Below are 21792 nucleotides of genomic sequence, written 5' to 3'. Positions count from 1 at the left end.
CCATTCTTTTTGCCACACAGCAGCCAGAGGAAGCCTTTTAGAACCTAAGCCACGTCATGGTGCCCATTGGTTCTAGACCCTCGAGGGGCCTCCCCATGTCATACAGAGTAGAAGCCACAGTCTGCCCAGGCCCCCAAGCCCTCTGTGACTTGCCGCAGCTCTCCCATGGCACCTCCTACACCCGCTCCTGTGGCTAACTCTGCTCCAGCCTCCCTGCTACTCCACAAAGGAGGTAAGCATGTGTCCGGCTTTAAGCTGTGCACATGATGCTACCCAGGCAGCATTTCCGCCAGCTATCAGCAAGCTTAGCTTCCTAAGCTCTCATTTCTGATAAGGATGGCCCCTTATCAGAAAGCTTCCCTGACCACCCCTTTAAAATCCAGCTTTACTTTTCTTCATAGCACTTATCCCCACTTGACAAAATATATATTTATGTTTTACTGTCTGTCTCTCTCCACTGGAATGTAAGTTCCATGGATACAGGATTTTTCCTTCTGAGAACAGTGCTGGGTACAGAGAAGACACATATTTTTTACATGAATAATGTGGGCACATTGTCCAATTAACGTGTACCATAAGACAAGACAAACAGTAACAACTGTAACAAAAATCCCAGTCACCTGTATGAATATGTATAATGTCTTTTTTCATTACTAACCTTTTAAAAAAATAAGGAAAGAGGAGGAGGAAATTTTTGTCGGTTGGATGAAGAGGGGAGAAAATCATTTACTTAGAACCATGTTTCGGGCACTCTTCTAGGTCTGGAGGTAGAGAGTCAAGATAGATAAGCTCCCTGTTTTGTGCAGCTTATGTTAGAGAGGAAATAAAGAGGTGGAGGTGGACACTGAAGAAGCTGGGAATCACACCATCAGTAAACAAACAAATGAACAAACAAGATAATTTCAAATAGTCGTGAATAATATACATGTTCAAGAAAACTTACTGGAAATTACCAGTAAAAATATACCTGTTTTATGCATGGGACTTATCAGTCTCTTTTTCCCATTCCACCCCCAAAATCCTGCACTTTCAATAAAATATATAAATATTCATACTTGATATTTATTAAAACAAGCTGCTTATCTTAGAGTAACTACTTTGTAACTTCTATTAAATGATGAGCTGTGCTTTGTTGAAGACAATATCTCTTGTACATGGATGGATTTAGCAACTGATATTGTCCTTTGTCATATGCCCAGAAGGTACCCATTAGAAGTTAGCAGATTTTTCACAGGTCTTCAAAAGTGAATGTCTGGAATTCTTTCCAACCTAACCTTGAATCTTTGTGGATATTTCAGTACACTGCTGAAAAGTTACATGCTTTTATTTTAGTAGAGTTGGTGAAAATTCCATATGGATTCCTCCATTCACAAAACTGAATGAAAACACAGAACTCCTTAAAATAAAAATAGACACACTGGGAATCACCAGGGAAATGTTACTTATTCTCTGAGCATTCAGCTTCTGCTATCCCTAGTGGTGGGAACCCAAGCTGTCATTCCAATTTCCTATAAACTTGGCAGGACTCTGTGTCCATTTGGAATTGTAATAGCCCGGATTTCAGTTCAGGGAGGAAGGAAGGAGTCATTGCATTCCTCTGAAAAGTCCTCCAGCAGAATCTCAAGAAGCCAAAGCCTAAATGTCAGTGTTCTCCCAAAGGAAAGACATGGTTCCATCTGACGAGTTTACCTGGTATAACGCTCTATAGCCAATTCTGGCAAGCCCTCTTGGCTGGTCTTTTTTTGGTAATGTTGCTTGTTGCAGAAAATTCTGGTTCCTGCATTAGGTGTTTTCTTTTTTCAGTTATGAACAGATTTTTCATACTAAATGCCCTAGACATTTCAGACTGGAAGTTCCAGGCTGTGTATATTCTTGCTGTTCATTCTCCACTCCTGCATGCTTCCTGATTTAGAATGTGGGAGCTGCAAGAAAGGCCAACCAACTCGCCCTCCCAGCTCTCATCACCTGTGGTCACAGTCAGACAAAGGAGTTGAATCCTGTTAAAGTGGGGGTCGGGCTGGGGGGTGGTGGGGGGGCGCGGAGTGTAGACCTCAGGCAGAGACAGAGTGGGAGGCAGGAGATGCCTCTAAATGGCCCAGGTGAGAGGTATGTTGTGGGGAGTGGAAAACTCTAAGGCTTGCGGAATCCTGATCAAGCCCTGAGTCTATGGCTCCTACTTCCTTCTCCCCCATTTTTGGTTCCAAATAAGTGATTTGCTTGCAAACGGATTCCACAAGCAAGTCATTTCCTCTTCCTTGGGGGACAGCAACTGTGACGAGAGGGAGGAAGGAAGAAACACACACCTCTTCTGAACACCCGGGATCGTGGTAAGGTCTTTGTGAGCCTTGGTGAGCCGCAGCCTCTTCATTCCACAGCATGCAGCATAACTATGGAAGGATTCAAAAATTTTGCTTTTAAAATTATTGGGCTCCAAGGAGGTGATGTTGAAACAATTCCTCAGAAATGAGAAAATCTAACATACAGATTGTTTCCAAATGAAATAAAGCTTTTAACGAATACTAAACTTAAGAACTGATGGAGTTGATACAATCGGTTAGCTATTATAGGCATTTAATCCACTAAATTTGGGGGGTGGGGTTCTTTCATTTGTTGGAAAATATATTTATATTTTGCTGTCTAAGTCTGGGCCCAGTGGCTCACGCCTATAATCCCAGCACTTTGGGAGGCCGAGGCAGTTGAATCACTTGAGGTCAGGAGTTCAAGACCAGCCTGGCCAACATGGCGAAATCCCATCTCTACTAAAATACAAAAAAATTAGCTGGGCGTGATGGCAGGTGCCTGTAATCCCAGCTACTCAGGAGGCTGAGGCAGGAGAATCGCTTGAACCTGGGAGGCAGAGGTTGTAGTGAACTGACATCGTGCCACTGCACTCTAGCCTGGACGACAGAGCGAGACTCTGTCTCAAAAAAATAAATCAATAAAAAATAAATAAATATATTTTGCTGTCTATATAGATGCATATCATATATAGGATTTTATATATACTATCTATGTAACATTTTTTCAGGGCTAAATATTGCTATAGGCCCTCAAAAACCTGTTGGCCCTGAGCCCTGTGCCTGCAGAACCTAACAGATACAGTAGATTGTGAAGTAAATGTAACAGAAAAAATAATGTAAAAAGTTATTGCAACCCCAGGCTAGTGAATGGATTAACATGACTAGGAGGCCAGTTCTGTCAAGGCTCCTTGCCAACCCTAAGTCTCCAAGAGAAGCCCTGGATTTTTACACCCAGTCCTCTCCAGCCTTGCTGTAGGAAGCAGTCATCCCACCAGAGAGGTTTCTATTTCAGACCCACTCTCAGTCCCTTGGGAGTCTCCTCCAGGCTGTCCTTCCTAAACCACTTGAATCTCGATTTCTCCCACAGCTGATTTTTTTTTTTTCAAGATGTTAGCAATTCCTGTGGAACCATCTGGATGTTATTAAGAAAGTGTCCCGGGTCCTCTGAGGCAGCTGGCTGCGGCCTCTTGCCTTGTTTCCTGTGTCCTGGATGTCTAAGTTGACTTTCATAAGAAATTTGGAATATTAGCTTAAAAAAAGAAACAGTCAATATTTTTCAGGCGTTGAGCTCTTGCAGCTTAATTTCCCCGGCTGGGACTTTGCATTTCGAGTTCCCATCTTTGGCCCCTGCTCTGGGAAGGATGAAGCACGTCTGTTTTAAAAACAGAAAGCACCAGTGGTCGGGGTGAACCAGAAATCCAGTCTTCCCCACCCTCCCTAGTCAGCCTCACAAAAACTTCCTTATGTCGCTGCTGCTGCTGCTCAGCCACTTCCATACCCCCAGCCCCCGCTCCCAAGTGAGACCCTGAGTCTCTGTCCAAATGTACATGCTATTTAGTTCAGCTCTATAGGGCACTCTCCTAGCCTCCTTGAGGCAAAAAGAACAAATATCAAATAACAGAAAAATGGCTGAACAGATGACAATGATTCCGTGGTTAAGAGGGGTAACTGTGAATAGGTGGGACAATAGGAGACACCAATTTACCCGCTTCCTAACCACTAGCCAGGAGCACCTGGGGCCTGAACAGAGACGCTCCCATGGATTCATTTTACTACTTAGAGCCTGCAGATGGGGTTGGGGCACTGGCTTGCCTCACTTCCCGTTTATTACCCAAACTCAACAGCCAAGCTTTGGGTTCTTAGCCTTGACCATTTGCTTTCCCCACTAAAGGGGCCCATGGCCCACCTCTTCTTCTTTGTTGTTCTTAGACCTTCACCACCCCCACCCCCGACCAACTTGCATCTCATCACCCTTTCAATTTCATTAATAAAGTTAACACTAGTTATTTGGAAGATTTTTAAGACCCCCAATGCTATTAAATCAGACAACGTGATTAAGGACACCCACTATACCTAGGAAGTGCAAGCACAGAATGACTTTTCCAAAAGACAAACAGCCTAACTTTCTGTCTCTGATGCTGGTAGAACCAAGAGAAAATTTTGAACGGAAGCATACAATTCACTCTCCATTGAGGATTCACTCAAAAAGGAGGTAGAGATATGCCTTAATATTCCTAATATCCCTGTCACAATCCACAGGAATCTACAACCTCCTATCTGGTTTGCCATAGACACTCAGTAAGTGGTCTCACCAACCCCCATCTTTTTATTTTGAAAAGCTTAAGCTACAAAAAAACTAAAAGAATAATACAATGAACTCCTATATGCATTTTACCTAAATCACCAACTGCAGTTCAACTTTGAGCAACATGGGGGTTAAGACCCCCACACAGCCGAAAATGGAGTATAACTTTTGTCTCCCCCAGAACTTAACTACTAAGAGCCTACTGTGGGCTGGAAGTCTTACCAATCACATAAACAGTTGATTAACACATATTTTGTAGGTTAAATGTATTATATGTGGTATTTTTACAATAAAGTAAGCTAGAAAATAGAAAATGTTAAGAAAATCATAAGGAAGAGAAAATATATTTACTATTCATTAAGTGGAAAAGGATCATCACAAAGGTCATCATAAAGGTCTTCACATTTAGTAGGCAGAAAAGGAAGAAGAGGAGGGAAGAAGAGGAGAAGGAGGAGGGAGGGAGGAAGGAGGGGGAGAAGGGAGGGGAGGAGGGAAGGGGAAAGCAGGGAGGGGAGGAGGATGGAAGGGGGAAGCAGGGAGGGAAGGAGGGGAGGGGGAAGCAAGGAGGGGAGAGGGCGAAGCAGGGAGGGAAGGGGGGAAGCAGGAAGGGGAGGAGGGGAGGAGGGAGGGGAGGAGGGGAAAAGAGGGGTTGTCTTGCTGTCTCAGGGATGTCAGAAGTGGAAGTAAATTCCAAGCATAACTGGACCATAGCAGTTCAAACACCTGTTATTCAAGGTTCAACTGTATTACAATATTACCACATTTGCTTTCTCCCAATAATTTTTTCTGATACATTTGAAAGTGAAGCACAATGATCCCTAAATATTTCCTAAAAGGTAGAACATACAAGACATTTAACATTGAAAAAAAATTACCTAATAGACAGCTCATTCAAATTTCCCCAATTGTCCCAATGTCCATTATAGGGTTTTTTTGTTTTTGTTTTTTTTTGAGACAGAGTCTCACTCTGTCGCCAGGCTGGAGTGCAGTTGTGCGACTTCAGCTCACTGCAACCTCTGCCTCCCGGATTCAAGCGATTATCCTGCCTCAGCCTCCCGAGTAGCTGGGACTACAGGTGCACGCCACCACGCCCGGCTAATGTTTGTATTTTTAGTAGAGACAGGATTTCACCATGTTGGCCAGGATGGTCTGGATCTCTTGACCTTGTGATCCATGCATCTCGGACTCCCAAAGTGCTGGGATTACAGGCGTGAGCCACCGCGCCCGGCCCCGTTATAGCCTTTTAAACTTTGTCTCTGATTTTAAAATTTCAGATATTTTTATAAAATTGAGATATAATTCACATATAAAATTCACCCTTTTCAAGGGTACAACTCAGGTTTTTAGAACAGTCACAGGTTACACAACTATCACTACTATCTAATTCTAGAACATTTTCATCCACCTAGAAAAAAATCCTGCACCCATTAGCAGTCATTCCCTATTCTTCACCTCCCTGCAGCTCCTGACAAACACTAATCTGTCTCTGTGGATTTGCCTATTATGGAAATCTCATAGAAATGGACTCACAGAATATGTGTCCGTGTCTGGCTTCTTTCCCTTAGTATAATGTTTTCAGGGTTCATCTATATTTTATCTATTTGATAGTGGGTAGACATTTAAATTGTGCTATACTTGTTTTTAAAAGCCAGGACCCAATCAAGGACTATACACTGCATTTAGTTGCCAGTCACTAGTTTCCTTTAATCCAAATGCTACAACATTAATTCTAGAATGTTAATCTAGATTTAGATCCTAGAACATTCTTCCCATTTTACAACAGTAAAAGTTTTGAAGAGTACCAGTCAGATGTTTTGAAGGATGTCTTTCTGGATTTGTCTGATTGTTTCCATTATTTGACTCAGATTAGACAATTTTGGCAACACTACTGCATGGGTGAGGTTGCATACTTCCTGTTGCATCACATCAGAAGACACGTCATGTCAGTCTGTCCGATGATAGGTGATGCTAAATTTGGTTATTTGGTTAGATGGTATTTACCAGATCTCCCTATCAGAAAGATACACTTTTCTCTTTGTATAATATTAAAATAAGTGAAATTAAGTAATATTTAAGACCACGTGAATATCTTGTTTCCCAACAACCTTTAACCAATGGCTTTAACACCCAACTATGATTGTTACCTGAATCCCTTATTATAATGGTGTTACAAAATAGCAATTTTCTGGCTTTTCTGACTCTATAATTCCTTCTATATACAGACATGGGCATTTTGTAAAAAAAAAAAAAAAATGCTTTCCCTGCTCCATCCCATCTTTTTTTTTTTTTTTTTTTTTTTTGAGGCAGAGTCTCACTCTGTCACCCAGGCTGGAGTGCAGTGGCGTGATCTTGGCTTACTGCAAGCTCTACCTCCCAGTTCATGCCATTTTCCTGCCTCAGCCTCCCGAGTAGCTGGGACTACAGGCACCCGCCACCATGCCCAGCTAATTTTTTGTATTCTTAGTAGAGACGGGGTTTCACCATGTTAGGATGGTCTCGATCTCCTGGCCTCGTGATCTGCCCTCCTTAGCCTCCCAAAGTGCTGGGATTACAGGCGTGAGCCACCATCTTTTTAATCTCCACTGTGAACTCATAGTTTTTTTTTTCAACTTAATGCATTATAATCAACATCATTTGTCCCAAATTTGGGAAATGGGATCCACTTTGAGTTAGCTCATCTATCTTTTCTGATGTGTTCCCATCAGTCTTTAAGTATTTCTTTGCTTTATGTGTCTAAAGATGGGAAAAAACAAAGGAGAGAGTGTCTTACTCTCTTACACAGTCAAACACTTCGCTTCTGACACCAGATGTGTGGAGGTGGCTTTTTCCTATACGCCAAGCAATTCTCCAGCAGACACCTGGATATTCTGGGTATCCTTGAACTCAATTCAATTCTGACACACTCTTGGCCGGGCGCGGTGGCTCACGCCTGTAATCCCAGCACTTTGGGAGGCCGAGGCAGGCAGATCACAAGGTCAAGAGATCAAGACCATCCTGGCCAACATGGTGAAACCCCGTCTCTATTAAAAGTACAAAAATTAGCTGGGCATAGTGGTGCACGCCTGTAATCCCAGCTACTCGGGAGGCTGAGGCAGGAGAATCGCTTGAACCCGGGAGGCAGAGGTTGCAGTGAGCCGGGATTGTGCCACTGCACTCCAGCCTGGCGACAGAGCAAGACTCCATCTCAAAAAATAAATAAATAAATAAATAATAAAAATAAATAAAAAATAAAAAATTCTGACACACTCTGCCTGAAGAGATGGCCAGATCCCACAGGTTAAGGGTTCAGTCCCACAAGACTGCCCCCTACTTCAGATGCCAGTCACAAACGCCAGGTTGGGACCTGTACTTCTGAGCAATCAGCTATAAATTGGTGTTCCCACAACCCCCTTCTTGGGTCCAATTAATTTGCAAGAGTACCTCACAGAACTCAAAAAAACAAGTTACTTCCATTTACCTCTTTATTACAAAGTATTTTTAAAGGATATAAATGAATAGCCAGAAGAAAAGAGACATAAGGTGAGGTTTGGAAGGATCCCAAGTGTAGCAGCTTCCCTCCCTGTGGAGCTGGGGTGCACAACCCTGCCCGCACTTGAATGCATTCTTGTTAACCAACCTGGAAGCTGCAGGAACCCAGTCTTACTTGGGTTTTTATGGAGGCTTCATTACATAGGCATGATTGATCAAACCACTGGCCACTGGTGACCAACCTTCAGCCCCTCTCCCGTTCCCAAAGGTGGAGGAGGCTGGATAACTGGACCCTATAATTACATGGTTGATTCCCCTGGCAACCAGCCCCCATGCCGTGGATATCTAGGGACTTTCCAAAAATCACATCATTAAAATAAGTTCACTGTAGTCGAAAGAGGCTTGTTATGTACAACCAAAGACACAACTTTCACCTTGCACCTGTTTCAGAAGCCCAAGACAAAGGGCGAAATATTTTAACAAAAGGTATACCAATTGCTCTCATCACTTAGAAAATTACAAGGGTTTTAGAAGCCACGAGTCAGGAACTGTACATGAAAACAAAAATATACACATAAATGTATATAGTCATGTGCCACACAGTGACTTTTAGTCAGCAATGGGCCACATATACAAAGATGGTCTTATAAGATTGTAATGGAACTGCCCTATACAGGCAAACCACTTTTAAAAGTCTTTTACATTTTTACTGTACCTTTTCTATGTTTAGATATATTTAGATACGCAAATATCTGATGTTACAATTTCCTACAGTATTCAGTACAGTACATGCTGTACAGGTTTGTAGCCTAGGAGTAAAAGTCTATCTGTATACTATATAGCCTAAGTGTGCAGTAGGCTACACCATTTAGGTTTGTGTAAGTACATTCCATGAGGTTTGCACAATGACAAAATCACCTAGTGATGCATTTCTCAAAATGTATCCCCCTTGCTAAGTAATGCATGACTGAATATATATTTGTTTCACAATATCACAGTGGCACAATAAGATGTTTGTTTGTTTGAGATGGGGTCTCCCTCTGTCACCCAGGCTGGAGTGCAGTGGTGTGGTCTTGGCTTACTGCAACATCAGCCTCCCGTGCTCAAGAGATCCTCCTACCTCAACCTCCCAAGTAGCTAGGACTATAGGCACACACCACCACATGGGGCTGATATTTGTATTTTTTATAGAGATGGGGTTTCACCATGTTGCTGAGGCTGGTCTCGAACTTCTGGAATCAAGTGATCCACCTGCCTCAGCCTCCCAAAGTGCTGGGACTACAGGTGTCAGACACAGCACTTGGCCACAAAATGTTTCAGACTCACTTTGTACTTTCCCTTCTTCAGACCTTAAATCAATATTTCTCCAAGGAGGCCTAGCTTGGCTTTGTGAGAAATGGTATTTAGATACCAAAATCAGGATACTAGATGTGCTCATTGATACTGGGTTTGATACTGGGTTTTCTTACATGTCTTTGCCTGAATGACTTATAGCATTTATTTAAGCCTTCCATGTGTAACCTCTCTTGTGATACTTATCTGGGTTTCAATTAGTAAGTAACACTTACTACATCTTCAATGTGTCCTAAATGTTATAGGTAAAATAGTTGCCAATTTTTTTTAGTATTTACCAAGTGCTCAAAAAACTCTGTACATGGTATTTGCATGCAGTACTTAGTCTCTGTAACAACTCAGTGATGTAGGCATTATTATTCATCCTTATTTGACAAATGAAATAACTGAAGTACAGAGAGGTGAGTACCCTATTCAAGGTCACAAGGTCACACAGCTCGTAAATGGCGGAACTGGGACTCAATTCCAGGTCTTTCTGACTTTAAACCTGCTGAACTACTAGGTAATATTATGCCAAAAACAAACACTGTAAAGGAAATAGAAGTATGCCTTCAAGCTAACTATGCCTGGGTATATGACATCATATTTGTAAAGTGAGTGGGATTATTTTATAATCTAACTTAGAGGCAGAGCCTGCTGGTGTGAGGAGGGCAGAAGGCACATGAATGAGTAAATCCCTTCACTTTTCCAGGCCTCAGCTACATCATCTGTAAGAGTGGAATGATGATATATCCTATACCTGTATTCCATATAAGGTTACTGTGGGGATCAAATGGTATTACATAAACAGTAGTCTTGGCAGAAATTATAAATCTCTAATACAAGAAGTGGCTCTCAAATCAAACTGAGTATGTAAAATAATTACCTAAGCGGAGGGGTGTGGGCTGAGTTTAAAGTGCAGATTATTGGGTCCTACTCTTAGAGATTGTGATTTAGTGGCCTGGTGTGGAGCCCAGGAATCTGAATTTTTTCTTTTTTTTTTTTTGAGATGGAGTTTCGCTCTTGTTGCCCAGGCTGGAGTGCAATGGCGTGATCTCGGCTCACTGCAACCCCCGCCTCCTGGGTTCAAGCAATTCTCCTGCCTCAGCCTCCCAAGTAGCTGGGATTACAGGTGTGTGCCACCACACCCGGCTAATTTTGTATTTTTTTAGTAGAGATGGGGTTTCACCATGTTGGTCAGGGTGGTCTGGAACTCCTGACCTCAAATGATCCACCTGCTTCGGCCTCCCAAAATGCTGGGATTACAGGTGTGAGCCACCGCACCCAGCCCTGATTTTTTAACATACAGCAGTGCCTTGGTATCCGTGGGGGATTAGTTCCAGGACCCCAGATACCAAAATCTGAGGATGCTCAAAGTCCCTTGTGTAAAATGGCTTAGTATTTGCATATAACTTAGGCACATCCTCCCATATACATCATCTCTAGATTACTCATAATACTTAATACAATGGTAATGATATATAAATAGTTACACCATTTTTTACTTGTACTTATTATTATTATATATACTTTTATTGTTTTGGGTTTTTTTCCGAATATTTTCTTTTTCTTTTTTTGAGATAGAGTCTTGCTCTTGTTGCCCAGGCTAGAGTGCAATGGCACGATCTTGGCTCACAGCAACCTTCGTCTCCCAGGTTCAAGTGATTCTCCTGCCTCAGTCTCCTGAGTAGCTGGGATTTACAGACGTGCGCCACCATGCCCAGCTAATTTTTGTATTTTTTAGTACAGACAGGGTTTCACCATCTTGGCCAGGCTGGTCTCAAACTCCTGACCTCAAGTAATCCACCCACCTCGGCCTCCCAAAGTGCTGGGGTTATAGGCATGAGCCACTGTACCCAGCCTCCAATATTTTCTATCCACAGTGGGTTGAATCTGCAGATGCAGAACTGGTGGACACAGAGGACTGACTGTACTTCCAGGGAATTCTGATGCAAGAGACTCACAGACCACGCTTGGAAAAACTCATGTAGTTGATGCAAAGATGAGAAAAGAGATGATAAACCCATGCTTAGAAACCACTTCTACATCTTTTCAGCCCCATTTCTGGCATTTGATCGCTTTTTTTCCCTATTTCTCTCTCCCTTATCTTTTTGCCGACTTTTCTCCTATTTGTCCTTAGTTTCAGCTCAAATGTCACTTCTGTTGCCTGCTCTCATCACATCCTTTGACTCTTGATAGCACACATCACCCTGATAAGTATGAAACTTCTGTCTGTGATTAGATGCTTCCTGTCTACTTCTCTTGATGGAGCGTAAGCACCAGAGGGCAGTAACCAGGACCCGTTCAATATGCCTGGTGCCCAGCACAGCACTTGGCACACAGTGAGCCATCAGCAGGTGTCTGCTGGACAAATGAAGGAATAAAAAGTAATACTAACTTTATTACCAGACAAGACTGAACAGCACACAGAATTCATAAATAACAAATACAGAATAAAGTTCATTACCAACAAGAATTGGATACCCTACTTCCTGTTCTCATAATCTTTCCCAAGGTTCTTGGAAAGACAGTTTTCATAGAGGAAACTGCACTTTCAATGACAGATTTGGGGACAATTGCTCAGAATAGGCAGGAATTCATAATGAAATTATGGCCCTCTGCTCTAGCCTCTCCTCCCACTTACTTCCCTCCTGGTTTCAGTTGTCATCTTGCACTGAAGCAACAGCGTCCCCTCCTTCCTGGCTCCCGCCAATTTTATCTAAGCAGTTCCAAAACAGGAGAGCTGCTGGCCCAAGGAGGCAGGGTATTCCAGTGGCCATCATTAATTGCGTGTGTTCCCCGAGTTATGTGCATTTTCATTTGTGCATTTATCTCCATCCTAAATGGGGCCCTTAAAGCTCCTTTACAATTTAACCTTGAGCCAAATAAGCATTGAATTTCACAACCAGAGCTTATGCTCATGTATTTATGGCAAGGTAGGAAGTGGGATTGTTTTAAGTATTTGTGTCTCCAAATTGGCCGCTGATTCTGTCTGGAAAAACTGAAAGAATGCATATGAAGGGGTGAGAACAGGAACTGTTCTACAAAGGTTTCCAGAACTCTACAGTGACCCTGAAGTTGGGGCCTGGGAACTAAGTTCATGTGACATTATTCCTTCGGGACACAATTCCCAGTATAACAGGGTAAAGAAGGACAAAACCAACAAGAATGTTCAACACTTCCTTTTTTTTTTTTTTTTTTGAGACGGGCTCTCACTCTGTCACCCAGGCTGGAGTGCAGTGGCGTAATCTTGGCTCACTGCAAGCTCCGCCTCCTGGGTTCAGGTGATTCTCCTGCCTCAGCCTCCAGAGTAGCTGGGATTACAGATGTCCACCACACCTGGCTAATTTTTGTATTTTTAGTAGAGACGGGGTTTCACCATGTTGGCCAGGCTGGTCTTCAACTCCTGACCTCAGGTGATCCGCCCACCTCGGCCTCCCAAAGTGCCGGGATTACAGGCATGAGCCATCGCGCCTGGACAACACTTCCATTTTAACAAAGATAATAAAACATCCTTGTACTGAAACCCGTTCATCTCAGAAAACATTAAGAGAACTATGCATGATGATTCTTTCAAATCTGGTTGACCTTATTTTCCTGTAAAATTCTCTTTGGTTTTGGCATCAGAACTGAGTTCTGAACTGAGGAAAGTGTAGTGGTGTCCCAGCACCAGGATTTGGTCTTCAACACAATAAACGGCTTTGTCAAAGGCAGAACGATGCGCAGCCCACTGGGTTCAAGTCCATGCCTATTGCTTACTACCTGAATGATATAGAACATGATACTTCCTCTCTGTGCCTTGGTTTCCTCAGTTGTGAGATGGGGATAATAATACATACTGGAGATGACAGTAGACACTTCATAAGATTGTTGTGAGGTCTAATGGAAAATGTGTGTAAAGAGCTTAGCACAAGGCCTGGCATGGAGTGAGTGTTAGTGACTATTAATTCAAGGTCTGGATTCAGAGAGGTCTCTCAGCTTTAAGACACACACTTGTATGATAAGGTCCAGCTGACTTCCTAAAGCCCATGTAATAAATGTATCTGCTGGACAGCTGTCCTTTTAAGTGTAAGTAACTTCTGGGTGTTTCCAAGTCTGGGACATTGCTTACTTACCTCATTAAGTCCTACTTCTCAGAGAAGCTGCTGCCCCACATTCCTGGCCTTCCTTGAAGATGGAGTGAAGGTATATGATCAGTCTTCTCTAATCAGAGAGACTTATCTTCACAAGAGTAACATGCATAATCCATTTTGTGGCAAGGGTAATGGCGTGACACGTGGTGCTTGGGGGCAGCCATCGGGAGGCTCAGAAGTTCAGAGCCCACGTCACAGTGAGAGCTGCAGAGGTGGACACAAGTGTGTGTATGTGTGCGTGTGTGTGTGTGTGTGAGAGAGAGAGTACACTGTGTGTGTGTCTAAGCATTCAGTAAATGAAATAGGGATATGATTTCAAATCAGTTGGGGAAGACAGTTTAGTCAACAAGCAGTCTAAATATATCTGACAACTCATTTAGAGGAAAACTTAGATTCTTACTTCTTATAATACACTAAGACAAATTCCAAATGGATTAGGGTTTAAATGTAAATCAATGACATGAAATAATATATGAAGCTATCAGAAAAGTATATAGGGAAATAGTAATATGATCTTGGATGGGGATGGTTTTTCTACGTGTATTAGGATGTCCCAGTTGAGCCTGAACTGGGACTCAGAGTTTGGCTCTGTTTGGAACTGGGCAGGCTCGTACAGCCAGTGTGGGTTGGGAGCAAATATATAGTTTGGGATTTTATTTGTCTGCAGGTAAACAGGCCTTCAGGAGGTGAGGTGGCAGGAAGGAGTTAATGGTAGATATTGACTGAAATGGACACAGGTTATGGTAAGAGGCTTCTGGCCCCAGGGACCAGATCTGAGTGCCCATGAAGTAGGGACAGTTCTGTTAGGAACATAGTGTGGCCCTAGCACAATGAGCATGGAAGGGACCATTTGAGCACCCAGAAGGCCTTCTGGGCCTGAAAGCACAAGGACTCGAGGCTTTCGTGGAGGTCTACAAGGTAATGCAAGTAGTATGGAGGCAAAGCCTGCCACGCATGAGGATCAGGAGCAGAAGTTGTGGCCACCTCACCTGCTAGATGCTTCCTTGTTTATATAAGGCTGGTTCTACAGATAATCAGTAGATTAAGAAATGACTCAGAGGGCAGATTCTGGCAAGACCATGGTGGTGATATAGTCTTTGAATCTCTTCGAATTCTCACACTGAAACAGAAAACCAAAAAAGCATGGAAGCATTTACAGCAAAACTAGATATTACAGATTAAATAATGGTGGCAAATACTCTGCAGCTCCTTACATCAAAAGCTGGAGTCTATCCTTCCACTCTTTGTGTCTGGACTTGCTTTCAACAATGGAATGTAGAGGAAGTAACACTGGCTGACTCCACAGCCTTGGTCTTGTTGAACAACCTGACTCACCTCCCTAATGATGAGACACCTCCATGAGTTCATAGTTTTGTTTTGTTTTTTTTTTAAGTCAGTTTTTGATGATGACAGGGAATCAATTCATTATCTTAAAAATTGATGTATAGGCCAGACATGGTGGCTCATGCCTGTAATCCCAGCACTTTGAGAGGTTGAGGCGGGTGGATCATGAGGTCAGGAGTTCGAGACCAGCCTGGCCAACATGGTGAAACCCCATCTCTACTAAAAATACAAAAAATTAGCCAGGCGTGGTGGCAGGCGCCTGTAATCCCAGCTACTCGGGAGGCTGAGGCAGGAGAATCACTTCAACCTGGGAGGCAGAGGTTGCAGTGAGCTGAGATCATGCCATTACACTCCAGCCTGGGCGACAGTGCCAGACTCTGTTTCCAAAAAAAAAAAGAAAAAAAGAAAAAACTTGATGAATAAAGAGAAAGCATTTATTCTGCCTTTCCTATATGAATTGTGCCACTGTGTAAGCAAATATTAGATGAGGCACAGCACCTCTTTATAATAAAAAGTATTCCAGTGAATGAATGAGAAAAAAGAACTAGAATCATCAGCAGCCTATAACCCCAATGAATTAAGACTGAGGCGGCCAGGTGCGGTGGCTCACACCTGTAATCCCAGCACTTTGGGAGGCCGAGGCGGGCGGATTAAGAGGTCAGGAGATCGAGACCATCCTGGCTAACACAGTGAAACCCCGTCTCTACTAAAAATACAAAAAATCAGCCGGGCGTGGTGGCGGGCGCCTGTAGTCCCAGCTACACAGGAGGCTGAGGCAGGAGTAAAGTGTGAACCCAGGAGGCGGAGCTGGCAATGAGCTGAGATCGCACCACTGCGCTCTAGCCTGGGCAACAGAGTGAGACTCCGTCTCAAAAAAACAAACAAACAAACAAACAAAAAGACTGAGGCAATGTGCACCAACAGCTACTAACATTACAAAAAAAAAGAGACAAGCAAACTTGATGTGCCACCTGATGAAGAAATGCAGTACCATTTATAGTCTTGCCCAAGGGATCAGCCATAAGTCTGATCAAGCCTCTGAATCAGTTGCCAATTTGCAGGAAATAAAAAGGACATAGGCAAACACGCTGAAGTGCACCATGGGATCGAAATGGACCAATTCCAGACCGTGGGCAACTCTACGGGTTGAGTACCTCTAATTTTTCAACAGATAAATTCTTTTTTTTTGAGACGCAGTTTCGCTCTTGTTGCCCAGGCTGGAGTGCAGAGGGGCAATCTCAGCTCACTGCAGCCTCCGCCTCCGGGGTTAAAGCAATTCTCCTGCCTCAGCCTCCCAAGTAGCTAGGATTACAGGTACCCGCCACCATGCTCAGCTAATTTTTTGTAATTTTAATAGAGACGGGGTTTCACCATGTTGGCCAGGCTGGTCTCTAACTCTTGGCCTCAGGTGATCCCCTTGCCTTGGCCTCTCAAAGTGCTGGGATTACAGGCGTGAGCCACTGTGCCTGGCCTCAACAGATAAATTCTAAGGAAAAGAAAAGAATGGTGAGAAATCTGTTAAAGAATCTTTTAAGAAATTGTTTTAAGAGGGAAAGACCAAGCTGTAGTATATAGGAATACATATTTGGGTGATAAAACTATTTTCTAAACTATGAGGAAGTGATTAAAGTCGGGCCAGCAGGAACTTTCTGGGGGAAGGAAGGAGTAGGATTGGACAGAGCCCAGGGTGGACCTTCTGGAGGAGGCAGCTCAGTTATGTTTGTGGACCTGGGAAGGGTTTGCCTTAGAATAATTCATTAAACTGTATATTTGTTTTGTAAGATTTTCTGTTTCTGGCTTTTTGTTTGTTTACAATACAAAGGGTTTTTACAAAGAAATAATTCTGAAAAGCAGGAAGTGAAAAAGTGAAACAATTATAGCTAGAGAGGTCTTCTCATACTGTTTATGGTTAGAGAAGCTGAAATAAGAAGCTGAACTCTGCTAGAGAGGCAAACAATACGGGCAGTTTACCTAGAGTGATTTTTCATAAGGGTAATCATCTTTTTGGGGAGGAAACAAATTAGAAGGGGATTAAGCAGTTTAACAGATGTGCAGAGAAAAAGGCTAGAAAAGGTATATACGGCATTTGCCTAGAAAGGATATACAAGGTATTTGCCATGGCATATTTTGAAATAAAGCATTATGAATGTTATTTATATTAATTCATGTTCCTTATCTAATGGTTCAACAATGTACATATATTGATTTTGTGAAACAAACCATTATTTTTCTTTTAAACTGGTTAACACCAGTCAGTAGAGTGTTTCTCTAGGTCCTGGTGGACACAACCCCTGTAGCAGTCTTAGATCCTGAGCCTGTCACACTCTGCCCCAGGCATTAAGAGCGTCCCATTCACACCCTTGGCTTGGATAGGTCCTTGCCCACAAGGAAACCTTTAGGTCATCATTTGGCTTCCCATATTACTGTCTTTCAGGGAGAGAATGCATTGAAGAGCTAATGTGAGCATTCCTGTGTATTTCATAGTAATATTTCTCACTGTAAATTAATACATGTTAAAGTACTTGTAGAAGGATTGGCTTAGGTCAAGAAGATGAACACTACTTTCTCTGAAAACCATGAGAAGGATAAATGATGAGATTTATTATTTTATACTTTAAAACCCTGGTCTATTTTTCTTCTGGACATTAGGATGAATCATCTGCTGAGTCCAGGGAAGGCTGGAACAGCTGCAAAAGGCAATGAGAAAGGGCTGAACCAAACACAGGTGAAGGAATTACTTCCTAACCCTCCAGATCCTACCTTGCACTGTCTATGCTGGCTCACCAGATCACCAAAAGGCACCCAAATTCCTGATTCAGATTCAGCTAGGACATACTAACACACTTAGAAATGCCATTCCCATCCAAGCTTAAATATTCACATACATATGTTATATATATAAATATATATATTTTTTGAGACATTTTCTATTGCCCAGGCTGGAGTGCAGTGGTATGATTTCAGCTTACTGCAACCTCTGCCTCCAGGTTCAAGTGATTCTCCTGCCTCAGCCTCCCCAGTAGCTGGGATTACAGGCATGCACCACCGCACCCGGCTAATTTTTGTATTTTTTTTTTTTTTTTTTTTTTTTGTATTTTTAGTAGAGACAGGGTTTCACCATGTTAGCCAGGATGGTCTCGATCTCCTGACCTCGTGATCTGCCCATCTTGGCCTTCCAAAGTGCTGAGATTACAGGCGTGAGCCACCGCGCCCGGCCTAATTTTTGTATTTTTAGTAGAGACGGGATTTCACCATGTTGGCCAGGTGGGTCTCAAACTCCCGACCTCAGATGATCTGCCTGCCTTGGCTTCCCAAAGTGCTGGAATTACAGGCATAAGCCACCGAGCCTGGCCAATATTCACCTATATTCTTTCCTAATATATTTGTGTATGGTTTCATGTTTCAAATTTAAATCCTTAATTCTTTTAGAATTTGTTTATATTTATTACGTAAAGTAAAAATCTAATTTTATTTTTCCAAATATTAGTTTGTCAACACCATTTATTGACTAATCTATCCTTTCTCCACTGGTTTAAAATGCTGCCATTATCAGGACTGATGCCACAGAAACAAAATACTGACCTTAACACTGAGGAGATTCTTCCATATTTTTAGTTAAAAGTCAGTTGTGGCTTCAAGAGAGAGGACCAGAGCCTTGATTCTAAGACTAGACAGAGCTTATGCTGGCTCACTTACAAATACGCATATATAACCACCAGCCTCCTTTCTCCCATCATGAATTCACTACCGGTTACTCAAAACAAGTGTTCTGGAATTAGACAACCTGAATTTGAATCCTGGCTCACTCTTTACTACCCAAATGGCATCGGCTACTTCACCTCCTTGTATCTTAGCTTCTCCCTCTGTAAAACGGGGATAACAGAAGGATCTACTGCACAGGCAATTGTGAGGACTAAATGAGATAAGGCACTTAAAGTGCCTGAGCAATAACAACACCAGCAGAGTATTATTTTTATGGTAGTGATCTTATCATCATTCTCATTATCACCATCCAGATGAGCTTATGATGGAATGTGGAGGATTCATATTCACTCTTCATTCATTCAATGAAATGCTATTGAGCATTTACTGTGTTTCAGCTACCATTTTAGCAGTGAATAATAAAGGCAAGGTCCCTACCCCTCAGAACTCACATGTTAGTGGGAAAACCATTAAAACAATGGCTAAAGAAAAAATATCTGTGAATAGTACAACAACAAAGTACAGCAGAGTGATACAGCGGGACTTCACCGGCAACTTTCCCTTACCTTGGTGGTCATGGAAAGCTTCACTGAGCCCCAGATGAATAGAAGAAGCCAATAAGAAACGTGTTGTTTTTCAAATACTTAGAGTTTTTCTTTATTATTATTATTGTTATTTTTTTTTTTGAGACGGAGTCTCACTGTCGCCCAGGCTGGAGTGCAGTGGCGGGATCTCGGCTCACTGCAAGCTCCGCCTCCCGGGTTCACGCCATTCTCCTGCCTCAGCCTCCTGAGTAGCTGTGACTACAGGCGCCCGCCCCCCACGCCCAGCTAATTTTTCCTATTTTTTAGTAGAGACGGGGTTTCACTGTGTTAACCAGGATGGTCTCAATCTCCTGACCTCGTAATCTGCCCGCCTCAGCCTCCCAAAGTGCTGGGATTACAGGCGTGAGCCACCGCGTCTGGCCCAATACTTGGAGTTTTTCTAGATATGTTTCCAATTTCTTATTCGATTCCACCGTAGTTAGAAAATAAAGTCTGTATAACTTTAGTCCTCATATATTTATTGAGATTTATTTTCTGGCTTAGATACCATTTATCTTAATGAATGTACCATATGCACTTGAAAAATGTGCATTCTGCAGTTGCATAAATATCAATTACATCAAAATGGTTGATGATGTTATTCATATCTTATGTGGTTTTATTTCTATTTTTGTCTAGTTCTGTCAGTTGCTGAGAGAGTAATGTTAAGTTTTCTAATAATAAATCTGGCTATGTCTATTTCTCCCTTTAATTCTATTTTTGCTTCATATATTTCGAAGTTCTATTATCAGGAGCATGAATATTTATAATTACTCGGTAATGGACTGAACCATTTTGTCATATCTCTCTTGATCTTCTATTTATTATTATTATTTTTAGTAGAGACAGGGTTTCACCATGTTGGCCAGGCTGGTCTCGAACTCCTGACCTCGGGTGATCCACCTGCCCTGGCCTCCCAAAGTGCTGGGATTACAGGCATGAGCCACCATGCCCGGCCTATTTACTTTTTAAAGAGATAATTTTGGCTGCTATGTGGGAGAATGTATTGTAGCAGGGATCAATGGGAGAAACACGGAAACCAATGATGAGGCCATTGCAATAGTCCAGAAGAAAGTTGGTGGTAGCTTGTACTACGGTAGGAACAGGAGGAAGGAAGAGAAGTGGACAGATTCAAATGTAAAGGTAAAGTCAACAGTATCTGCTAAAGGATTAGATGTAGTGACTGAAGGAACAACTCTAGGATGACTCCTAGGGATGACTCCTAGGATGACTCCTGAGCACTTAGGTGGATAATGGTGTCTTTTAATGAAATGGAGAAAATTTAGGAAGAAGCAAGTTGACAGTAGGCTGTAATAAGACATATTAAGTTTAGGGTTCCTATTAGATATTTAAGAAGAAATGGCAAGTACGTGGCCAGATATTTGACTCTGAAGTTCAAAGCAGAGGTTGGAGTGAAAGGTATAGATTGGGAGCTTTAGCTTATATGTGGTATACAACAAAATGGGATTAGATGAGCTTACTTGAGGGAAGTGAAGATGAAAAAAAGTGGTCTCAGGAACAAGCTCTTGGACTTGCCAAAATTTGAAAGTTGAATAAAAGAAAAAAAAGCAAAAGAAAATGTAGAAGTTTCAAGTAAGATAGGAGAAAAGCCTCCAAGAAAAAAAAAAAAATGCTTTAATAAGAAATGATAAGTCAACTGAATGCTGCTGTGAATTTGAGAAAAATGAGATATAGAATAACCTTTAGATTTAGCAGTGTGGGGTTGGGCGTGGTGGCTCATGCCTGTAATCCCAGCACTTTGGGAGGCCGAGGCGGGCAGATGACTTGAGCTCAGGACTTTGAGACCAGTGTGGGCAACATGGTAAAATCCCATCGCTACAAAAAAATACAAAAATTCACCAGCAGGCCGGGCGCGGTGGCTCACGCCTGTAATCCCAGCATTTTGGGAGGCCGAGGCAGGCGGATCACGAGGTCGGGAGATCGAGACCATCCTGGCTAACATGGTGAAACCCCGTCTCTACTAAAAATACAAAAAAATTAGCCGGGCATGGTAGCGGGTGCCTGTAGTCCCAGCTACTCGGGAGGCTGAGGCTGGAGAATGGCGTGAACCCAGGAGGTGGAGCTTGCAGTGAGCGGAGATGGCGCCACTGTACTACAGCTTGGGCGAGAGCGAGACTCAAAAAAAAAAAAAAAAAAAAATTCACCAGCAGTGGTGGCACACACCTGTGGTTCCAACTTCTCGGGAAGCTGAGGTGGGAGGATCATTTGAGCCCAGGAGGCAGAAGTTGCAGTGAGCCGTGATTGCACCACTGCACAGCAGCCTGGGTGACAGACAGACCTTATCTCAAACAAACAAATAAACAACAGATTTGGCAGTGTGTGAGGGGTGAATGAGGGTCAAAAGCCCACATGGAGTGGGTTGAGGAGAAAACGAAAGGCAGTGGGGAGTCAAGATGGTGACCATGGAGAGTATTTATGGAAGTTACACTGTGAATGGGGAAAGAAAGGGGCAGTGGCTGAAGGAGGATCTAGGTCAAGGAAAGTTTTCTTTGCTTAATGTTGGAGTTACAAGAACATGTTTATATACTAATAAGGAAAATCCACTATGTCTTGACTGTATGAACATAACTGTATCCAAATGCAGCCTGCCTATTCTTGGCTTT

General features: G+C 42.6%; 1 annotated feature.

Annotated features, from left to right (window-relative positions):
• Nucleotides 21042-21543: an enhancer, noted in NCBI's record as "H3K27ac hESC enhancer chr5:141902675-141903176 (GRCh37/hg19 assembly coordinates)". NCBI's record gives its function as "activates a minimal SCP1, AML or CMV promoter by ChIP-STARR-seq in primed H9 embryonic stem cells {active_cell/tissue: H9 hESC(primed)}" and the evidence as "EXISTENCE:reporter gene assay evidence [ECO:0000049][PMID:30033119]".

Source organism: Homo sapiens, chromosome 5 (genome assembly GCF_000001405.40).
Source record: "Homo sapiens chromosome 5, GRCh38.p14 Primary Assembly".
Lineage (NCBI taxonomy): Eukaryota > Metazoa > Chordata > Mammalia > Primates > Hominidae > Homo > Homo sapiens.
The sequence above is the reverse complement of the archived record's forward strand: the minus strand, read 5'-3'. Positions and strand labels throughout refer to the sequence as shown.